Raw genomic sequence first — 10820 nt, forward strand, 5'->3', positions numbered from 1 at the left:
TGAATCCCAGATCCAATTCTGAAAGGCACAAAAGGGAATTTAATAAAGTCTCCTTTATACTCTTGCCCCCACCCCTTCTAGTTTCTCTCTCCAGAGATTACCAGTATTACTAATTTTTATCCTATAAGTTTTATTATTTTCCCCATAATTTCATTTTTTAGGAAACAAAAGGTAAACTAAGAAACTCTTTAGTTCACCAGCATCTCATTTAGAAAACATAGTCAGGGCTGGGTGCAGTGTCTCACACCTGTAATCCCAGCACACTGGGAGGCTGAGGCGGGCGGATCATGAGGTCAAGAAATCGAGATCATCCTGGCCAACATGGTGAAACCCTGTCTCTACTAAAAATACAAAAATTAGCTGGGTGTGGTGGCACGCGCCTGTAGTTCCAGCTACTTGGGAGGCTGAGGCAGGAGAATCGCTTGAACCCAGGAGGTGTAGGTTGCAGTGAGCCGAGATTGCACCACTGCACTCCAGCCTGGTGACAGAGTGAGACTCCATCTTAAAAAAAAAAAAAAAAGTCAAAGTGGCATTTCCTCAAGTTTGAAGCTTGAATATATAATTCTTATGTTTAAATACTGATTTTGCCTTATTAATTCAACTTTAATATGATAAAGGATCGTTAAACAACACATTGTTATAATCAGCTAACCTTGGTGTACAAGCTACTTGGAAACCCACAAAGAATGTACTTCCAGTGCACTTTAGATCACAAGCCGGAGAACGTTTTCTGAAGGGCCAGATCATAAATATTTTAGGCTTTTTGGGCCACACGATTTCTGTCATGCCTACTCAACAATTCTTTTTGAGCCAAAGCAGCCATAGACAATATGTGAATATCGTAGCTGTGTTCCAATAAAACTTTATTTATGGACACTGAAATACTAATTTCATATAATTTTAATGTGTCAAGAAATAGTCTTCTTTTTTTTTCCCAACCATTAAAAAATGTAAAAACCATTCCCATCTCCCTGGCTGTACAGAAAGAGGTGATGCCCAGATTCCCCTCGGGCCATGTTTATCCTGCCTTAGACTTGGGCTTCTCAAACGTTCATATCACATACCCCCTGGGGATCTTATTAAAACACAGATTCTGGCTGGGCCTGTGGCTCATGCCTGTAATCCCAACACTTTGGGAGGCTGAGGAGGGCAGATCACTTGAGGTCAGGAATTCAAGATCAGCTGACCAACATGGTGAAACCCTGTCTCTACTAAAAATACAAGAATTAGCCGGGCGTGGTGGCAGGTGCCTGTAGTCCCAGCTACTTGGGAGGCTGAGGCAGAAGAATTCCTTGAACTCGGGAAGGGGAGACTGCAGTGAGCCGAGATTGCACCACTGCAATCCCACCTGGGCGACAGAGCAAGACTCCATCTCAAAAAAAAAAAAAAAAAAAAAAAAGTAAAGAAAAAAAGAGAAATTTCAACAGATCCATTTTGCTTCTTTCAACATCTGCAGATTTTGTAGTTACACCCATCTTGAGTATCATTAGTAGAGATTCTGATCTCAAAAACAACAAAGAATTCCAGATAATGAAAACTTAAAAAAAAAATTGGCCAGGCGGGTTGGCTCATGCCTGTAATCCCAGCACTTTGGGAGGCCAAGGCGGGCGGATCACCTGAGATCAGGAGTTCGAGACCAGCCTGGCCAACATGGAGAAACCCCGTCTCTACTAAAAATACAAAATTAGCTGGGCGTGGGTGGCGGGTGCCTGTAATTCCAGCTACTTGGAAGGCTGAGGCTGGTGAACCGCTTGAACCCAGGAGGCGGAGGTTGCAGTGAGCTGAGATTGCACCATTGCACTCCAGCCTGGGCAACAAGAGTGAAACTTCGTCTCAAAAACAACAACAACAAAAAACTATTACTTTTCTAGAAATAGTAAAACTATAGGAATTTGATCTTCACAAATTCTATATTCATGATAATTCTGACAGAACTTTAGGTTAATTTGCCTTTGATCTGCTATGACATTTACTAAACAAGGTAAAGGGAATATTTTGAAATACATAGAGAATAAATGCTCTAAAACTTTAGCACTTGCCTGCAGGTACTATCAAGCTGGAGCCAGCCCTCCACTGCTGCTCAGGGCTCAGCCACTCAGGCCTTTTCAGGGACTTTATCCCATCAGGCATCCCTTGCAAATGTGCTCAAGTTTCTCCCATTAAAAAAAAAAGGTCCTCTGTCACCCTCACCCTCTGTAGTCCCTCTTCCGTGTCATGGGCACATTTCTGAGTATCTCCTTGCAGTCTCCATTAGCACCATCAGCATCTCGTCCTGTCTATTCTCTGAAACAGCTCTCACTTGCTAAAATCCCTAATCTCTACTGTCACAAAATCAGATGATCCTCATCTTACTTAATGTCTTGGCAGCGTTTGGCATGACATCCTGGTTTTCCAACATAACATTCTTCTGTTTTCTTCCTATTTCTCTAGCTGTTCTTTCACAGTCTCTTTTGCTGGTTCATCCTCTTCTACCGAGCTCTTAAGTGCTAGAATTATTCTAGATTCAAGACCTCTCCTCACTCTTCTTTTTTCTAGGTGATAACATTTATATCCAGGGTTTCAGTGATCACTTTTCTGCATCTGATGGCTCAAATTTGTATCTCCATGTCAGAACACTTGTCTAGGCCAGACTTGTAATATCCAACCACATTCTTGACATCTTTTTATTTTATTTTTTTGACAGAGTTTCGCTCTGTCACCCAGGCTGGAGTGCAGTGGTGCGATCTTGGCGCACTGCAACCTCCGCCTCCCGGGTTAAAGCAATTCTCTGCCTCAGCCTCCCGAGTAGCTGGGATTACAGGCATCTGCCACCATGTCCAGCTAATTTTTGTATTTTTAGTAGAGACAGCGTTTCAGCATGTTGGCCAGGCTGGTCTCAACTCCTGACCTCAGGTGATCCACCCACCTCGGCCTCCCAAAGTGCTGGGATTACAGGCGTGAGCCACCGTGCCTGGCCACCTTGACATCTCTTCTGGAGCATTTCAAAGACTGAACTCATGATTTTCATCCTCTCTGCTCTGCCTGCAACACGGGTCCTGCAACATCATCAACTCAGCTATGGAGGCCAGAACACCAGAAGTCATCTTTTACATACTTTCCCCATATCCAATCCATCACCAAGCCCTGCTGACTCTATCTCCTAAATATCTTTCCAATACATTCACTGCTCTCTAGTCCACCCTGGTCCCATCTAACCATGTCTCAGATATTGCAATATTCTTTTAACAGTCAATCTACAGTTAACTGGGACTCCACCCCTACTCCTACTCCATTCTCCACACTACAACCAGAGCAATCTTTTTAAAATGCAAATGTGATGTGACATGTACCACCCCAAAAACAACATCAAAATACAAATGATAAAAAATGAAAAAAAAAAGCTTTCAATGGTTTCCAACAGTATTGGGACAAAGCAAAGCTTGTAGCTGGCATTTAAGATCTGACTCCTACCTACTTCTCTAGCCTCATCTCCAGTTCCCCTTGCCCTGTTTCCACTCACTGAGGAGAATAAATCACAAATTGCATGGTTGTTCCCTCCTTTCTTTACTTAGTTAACTCATATTCATATTCAGACCTCATTTTACCAAGAAGCACTTCCCTGAACTCCCTGATGAAATCAAATCTCCCAATACAGGTTCTTAGAGCATCTTGTATCTCTTTCTCCATTACAGGGGCTAGAACTAAAATTTTATGTTTGTGTAATTATTTTTTTCTCTTGCATATATATCTTTTCTCATTATTGTATCCCTAGGGCCTGGTACAGTCCCTGGCATACAATGGGCACTCAATTAATACTTGTTGAATGAGTTAATATATTTACAAACTATTATTGTTTCATTAGAGCAGGTCACCAAGAGATTCTGTGTAAATATTGACAAACCTAGCAGAGTTCATTATATACACTTTCTATTATTATAAAGGGAAAACATGAAAATATTATTAAAAAGTCAAACAATAGAAAATATTTAAAAGAATAAAAGATGGGCTGGGCGTGGTGGCTTACACCTGTAATCCCAGCTGTTAGGGAGGCAGAGGTGGAAGGATAGCTTAAGCCCAGGAGTTCGAGACCTACCTGGGCAATATAGCGAGACCCCGTTCTCCACAAAAAGGAAAAAAAAAAGACAAAAAGAGTAAAAGTTGAAATATCTCCTTTGCACACCCTCATTTTCACTCCCAAAGTAAATACTCTTGATAGTTTAATGTGCATCCTGAGTATATGTATGTGTATGAACATAAAACTAAATGTCTGTCGCCCAGGCTGGAGTGTAATAGCGCAATCTCGGCTCACTACATCCTCTGCCTCCCAAGTTCAAGCGATTCTTGTGCCTTAGCCTCCTGAGTAGCTGGGACTACAGGTGCACACCACCATGCCCAGCTAATTTTTGTATTTTTAGTAGAGACGGGGTTTTGCCATGTTGCTCAGGCTGGTCCTGAACTCCTGGCCTCAAGCCATCCACCTGCCTCACCTCCCAAAGTGTTGGGATTACAGGTGTGAGCCACCGCACCCAGCCTTCATAATATTCTTAGTTTTAGATTGGCTTTCCCTAATCCATCCAAATCATTGAAACTATATTATATACCAAAAATAATCATTAAAAAAAGGTTACAAGAAGACCAGCTGGTTAATCATTCAGGCTAAACTCCATTCTTACCTGCCTCGCCATTCTCTTCAGTCTTAGTGCTCATCAAACAGGCAATAAACTTGTTATCTACTTGCTGGAGAACCTGTCAGACATTCAAATAAGTGGTACAACACTAAATAAAAATTAACAAAGGCTTATTTGCATAGAAAGATACAGAACTGTATTTTATTTAGAGTTGTTTGCCTTATCACACTCCTTTCTTTGAGACTGGGTAAGGTTCTGATGAACCAGAAAAAGTCACTAGGAAGGATGAAAGAATGGGCAGGTGGAGTTGATCAGAAGATGTAAGGGGAGGGAGGCGACAGGGGAAGACAGACTCCCACGTCTCAGAGTGGTGTGCTAGCAATACTTTAGAGAAGGCCTGAGATGTTCCCAACAGAGTGACTCTTGAGAATAGGTAATGTGACCAGAGATTGCTAACATACAGGCTGAAATAAATTTTTAAAATTTATATGAAAGCAAGGAAAACGATTATGGAGAAACTAGTCTATTTTTATTTTTATTTATTTTTAATTTTTTTTTTTTTGAGACGGAGTCTCACTTTGTCACCCAGGCTGGAGTGCAATGGTGTGATCTCGGCTCACTGCAAGCTCTGCCTCCTGGGTTCATGCCATTCTCCTGCCTCCATGCCATTCTCCTGCCTCAGCCTCCCGAGTAGCTGGGAGTACAGGTGCCCGCCACCACGCCCAGCTAATTTTTTGTATTTTTAGTAGAGACGGGGTTTCACCGTGTTAGCCAGGATGGTCTCGAACTCCTGACCTCATGATCCACCCACCTCGGCCTCCCAAAGTGCTGGGATTACAGGCGTGAGCCAGCGCGCCCGGCTGCTAGTCTATTAAAGAAGTAAGTTAAAAGCCACTGGTGGCTTTAGACCTTGGTGGTTCCTCTCTGTCTAGGTACTTGAGGCTCTCCAATACCCCCGAGCCTATACCACTGCCCCAGGGTCTATTTCTGGATCAACTGCTTGCCTGCTCTGGTACCAGGTCAATGCCAGGTTAGGAGTTTACCCAAATTTGTTAGCCTCCTAATTTGTTTCCGTACTGAAAACAAAGGGAATAAGACAGCCATGGTGGTAAACACAAGGCAAAATAGAAAAGCAGATCAGACAAAGGGTCCCTTTTGTGAAATGACTTCTCAATATGGGCTTTCCCAAACCTGTGTAGGCTCACACAATAGAAGGTAATTTCTAAAAGGGCACTGTTGCACACTTAAGGACAAGGTCACTAAAGGACTTTGATTTATAAATTATTGCCAAATATAAAGTCAATATATAATCTTCTGCAGGAGAACCTTGAGAATCCTTGAAACTGTCAGCCTGAATCCATAATTCATTCCCTCCAAACCTACTTACACTACTAAAGATATTTCTTTCTTTGTAATTATAATTAATCCCTTGCTTTTTCTTCTGATGATAAAAGTTCTAGTAAGAACACACACACACACACACACACACACACGTGCCTTGACCAAGGTGGTCTATATCATTAAATAAATCAAATTTTAGAAGAGTTAGGCCATATATATATATATATATATATATATATATATATATTTATGAGATTTTGAAGTTAATCTTTTACCTGCATTGAATGAATCATTCCTTTGGTGAAACGATAGGGATACAAGATGTTGTGAATTTTAACTGCTAAGCTCTCAGCCTGGCCACTGCTTACATCAACAGCAACCTAGAAAGACTCAGCAAAATATAATTGAAATTTTAATTTTTGTGTCAGAATTGTTTTACCAAAGATATCAGAGTGCTTTAAAAGCATTCATTTTTATTTAGCCTACTAGAGGTGGGTTTAATTCAGGGAATTTATAGAAATTCAAAAGAATCGGCCGGGCGTGGTGGCTCACACCTGTAATCTCAGCACTTTGGGAGGCTGAGGCGGGCAGATCACGAGGTCAGGAGATCGAGACCATCCTGGCTAACATGGTGAAACCCCATCTCTACTAAAAAATACAAAAAATTAGCTGGGCGTGGCGGCAGGCGCCTTTAGTCCCAGCTACTTGGGAGACTGAGGCAGGAGAATGGTGTGAACCCGGGAGGCGGAGCTTGCAGTGAGCTGAGATCACGCCACTGCACTTCAGCCTGGGCGACACAGCAAGACTCTGTCACAAAAAAAAAAAAAAAAAAAAAAAAAAAAAAAAAAATTCAAAAGAATTTATGAATAATGAGTCTTACATAAAAATTTTTGCTTATAAACAAAATTACTGACAAAACAAAAAAAATTGTTTCACAACAACAATTTGTCTATGTTCCATGATCAAGTCCTCAAATGATATCTTGAGGAAAGAACTGGTAAACAAATGCTCATCTATTATACACCCTGTTTATAACATGCACAGTACATTCTGTGAAAATACACTGAGGAGAGAACATCCATGCGGGGCCAATGAGGAACTGTTCCTCCAGTAGAAGATGTGTGGCTTTATCTAATGATAACAATTTCATTATCACCACCCTGAATACTGTGCCAAAGCTACAAGTCAGGGTTTCTGAGAGTGGTAAACACATTCACTGTTCTCACATTGATTATACATGTTTAATCCAAAATGCCTGAGTTCCCAAATGCTATAAATTTTATTTCTCCCCTCTACATTAAACAGTAATTTCCAAATACATAATTTGGAAATATGCCCAGTTTCCAATCATAATTACAAATTAATATAGTCTTGCATGCCCATACCCAGCTTAAATAAAATTCAAATTTTATTTTTAACTAATTTACTTATTTTTTAAGAGATGGAGTCTCACTGTGTTGCCCAGGCTATAGTGTGCAGTGGCTAGTCACAGGTGCAATCAGCACACTATATAGCCTTGAACTTCTGGCCTCAAGTGATCCTCCCACCTCAGCCTCCTGAGTAGCTGAGACTATAAGTGCATGCCACTGTACCCATCTTGAAACTCAAAGTTTAAAATAACAGGCAAAGAAAGGCTGGGCGTGATGGCTCACACCTGTAATCCCAGGACTTTGGGAGGCTGAGGCGGGCAGATCACCTGAGGTTGGGAGTTAGAGACCAGCCTGACCAATATGGAGAAACCCCATCTCTACTAAAAATACAAAATTCGCTGGGCGTGGTGGCAGGTGCCTGTAATCCCAGCTGCTCGAGAGACTGAGGCAGGAGAATTGCTTGAACCTGGGAAGCGAAGGTTACGTGAGCCGAGATCATGCCATTGCATTTCAGTCTGGGCAACAGGAGCAAAACTCCATCTCAAAATTTAAAAAATAAGAAGAAGAAGAAGAAAAAAAAAAGGCAAAGAAAAACTGCTACAGACCCACCTCTGGATAACGGGCAAATACTGGATTGTCCCATTCTGAGAACAAAGACTGAAGCGATTCGCTACTAACAGTATCATCCACAGTATCTAGGGCAAAAGGGAACAGGTAAAGTTGGCATCCAGAACCACAGGGAAAGGAGGGAATGGCATTTCCTGTTTGGTGAGCCATAGCCTCAAGACCAAAGGTCACGTACATTGTTTCTATGTTCTACAAATGTTCAGTGTTTGCTGTATCTCTAAATTATTTTGATCTGTTACTTTTTAAACTAGAGTTGGTGACTGTATCTTCTGGCATTACAGCTTTTCTCCAAACTGTTAAAAGAGATATTGTGGAATACTGACAGAGAAGCTATGGCTCAAATTTATAGCCTTACTGCCTTTAAGCAAAATATACCTTATCTATTTTTAAACATACACACAAAATTGATGTCTGTAGCTTTTTTTGAAGAGTTTTGCTTACATAAAACTACAGCAACTTGGAGTGCAAGTCCAGCCTTTTTAAAAATAAGAAACATGTCCCCTAATCACAAGACACCACAGACTATGCATAATCAGCAAATATTGACCTCAAGTCTGGAAAAGTAATTTCTGACCTAAATGCATGCGCTGAATTAATTAGTTCCGCTGTTAAACAGGGCCGTGGGGAATTCCTGATTCCAGTACAGCACAGCTGGCACTGATCAAGCTTAATGCAAGCCTGCTTTGTTTTTTGAGTTAGGTGGTACGATGTGTACTGTGTGCCCCAGCACTCTCTGCCACCCTTACCTCTGTTATCCTGTCTCATCACAGTCCTCTCTGCTCGAGCTCTCGGAAGGAAAGGAAGAACAAGGTCGCTTCTAAAAGGTTGACACCTGTACTGAGACCCTAAATATAAGAAAGAAAAACCTAGAAATGTGAACTTAAAATACAAGTAAACTCTTTAAAAATTTAATCACATAAAACCTCTTTCTGCACAAACTGAGTCAAGACATAAAGCAGACTACTAAACACTAGATTGAGAATCAGAAATCCTTTAATGAAATTATGCTGTCCATATAGGACTCTATATTAATGCTTAGTTCCATTATCTATTCATACCAGACAGAATGAAGACCTAGAATAGGTCACTGTGATTCTCACTGGGGGGCAATTTTGCACGAGGGGACATTGGCAATGTCTTGAGACCCTTTTTTTTTTTTTTGAGACGGCGTCTCGCTCTGTCGCCCGGGCTGGAGTACAGTGGCGTGATCTCGGCTTACTGCAACTTCCGCCTCCCGGGTTCAAGCAATTCTCCTGCCTCAGCCTCCCGAGTAGCTGGGATTACAGGCATGCGTCACCACACCCGGCTAATTTTTTTGTATTTTTAGTAGACATGGGGTTTCACCATATTGGCCGGGCTGGTCTCAAACTCTTGACCTTGTGATCCACCCGCCTCGGCCTCCCAAAGTGTTGGGATTACAGGCGTGAGCCACTGTGCCCGGCTTGAGACACTTTTCATTGTCACAACTTGAGTAAAGGGTTCTACGTTCTACTAGCATCTAGCAGATAAAGGCCACGGATGCTGCTAAATATTCTACAATGCATAGGACAAACCTTACAACAAAAAATTACCCAGAGAAGCCCTGTGTTAGACATACAGCAGTACTTGTCAGCCATAACTTGGTGCAACCTTCACAAATCTCCAACTTATGTCTCTTATCTCCAATGTATGTCTCTATCCTAACATTTGTCTCATTATAATACAATTATATTTAGATAGCTATCTTCCCTAATAGTACTGTGAACTCCTAAAAGCAAAGTCAGTTAACCTGCAACGTGACAGCACCTAGCACAGTGTGGATGATCAACAAATGCTGCATGAAAAAGTGAACAGGTAGACAAATGAAAGGTTCTCAATTCAAACTCCAGAGTCTAGTAAGATCTGGCCCAAATGCTGTTCTTCTCCATGAAGGATAATCAGATTTGAGTTTTAGAAACAATGCTGAATTTGACAGCTTTAGAACAGGAGGAAAACATGAGAGATAAATCTGTTGGACTAAACCTGGAGAGGTTAAGAATGATAAAATTAAGATAATGAAGTGAAATAAGGTTTATAACTACAATAGAAAGAACTGCATAAAATATATTTTAAAGAAAAAATTACCAAGGCTTGGGGACTTGACACTACTCCTCAAAATCACCTTTATAGATCCTCCTTCTGTACATTAAAATGTATCTTTTAGGCTGGTGGCTCACGCCTGTAATCCCAGCACTTTGGGAGGCCGAGGCGGGCAGATCACCTGAGGTTGGGAGTTTGAGACCAGCCTGACCAACATGGAGAAATCCCGTCTCTACTAAAAATACAAAATTAGCCAGGCATGGTGGCGCATGCCTGTAATTCCAGCTACTCAGGAGGCTGAGGCAGGAGAATCGCTTGAACTCAGAAGGCGGAGGTTGCAGTGAGCCGAGATCGCACCATTTCACTTTAGCCTGGGCAACAAGAGCGAAACTCCGTCTCAAAAAAAAAAAATTGTCTTTTAACAATTTATTTCATGTAACACTTTTATGTAAAGTTTGACAATGTCCTGATGTCATGATGTATATCAGCCATTTCCAGAAAGGTAGCAGGGTACTGAGGAGCCATCTGTTCATGGAACTTCTTTCTATACCAAAAATATTTTTCATTAGGAAACTATCAGTTAACATGACCCTCAAAAGTTCATAAAAAAGTATGCTAATCCAGAATGTTAAGTAGGTTAAAGTGTTTTAAACGTCTATATTCAAAAGGAAGAAATATTTACGTTGAATATGGCAGCTAAGATTTCCCCCTTTCTTTTAGCAACAGCCATCTCACAGTATAATGTAATCCAGTTATTTTTTGGCACCATATCAGAAGCAGTTGCATTTCAGGAAGATGAGGTGTCAGTGCTGTAGAT

General features: G+C 41.3%; 1 protein-coding gene across 17 annotated transcripts in view; it reads right to left on the bottom strand.

Annotated features, from left to right (window-relative positions):
* MLH3 (mutL homolog 3) overlaps window positions 1-10820 on the bottom strand; it is a 37693-nt gene that overhangs the window by 19913 nt on the left and 6960 nt on the right. For 9 of the 17 annotated variants that reach the window (XR_001750225.3, XR_245681.5, XM_017021219.3 and 6 more), the window contains exons 3-6: window positions 8692-8790; window positions 7928-8013; window positions 6224-6328; window positions 4653-4725 (exon numbers count right to left, since the gene is read on the bottom strand). Coding sequence is in view for 13 of the 17 variants with exons in the window: in XM_017021219.3 (XP_016876708.1) it covers window positions 4653-4725; window positions 6224-6328; window positions 7928-8013; window positions 8692-8790 (363 nt within the window). In the remaining 4 variants the exon portion in view is untranslated. Of the gene's footprint in view, window positions 1-4652; window positions 4726-6223; window positions 6338-7927; window positions 8014-8691; window positions 8791-10820 lie in introns of those variants that run through there. The other 8 variants (XR_007064005.1, XR_007064004.1, XM_047431265.1 and 5 more) reach the window with 2 other exon arrangements.

The sequence above is a fragment of the Homo sapiens genome, chromosome 14 (assembly GCF_000001405.40).
Source record: "Homo sapiens chromosome 14, GRCh38.p14 Primary Assembly".
NCBI classification, from domain to species: domain Eukaryota; kingdom Metazoa; phylum Chordata; class Mammalia; order Primates; family Hominidae; genus Homo; species Homo sapiens.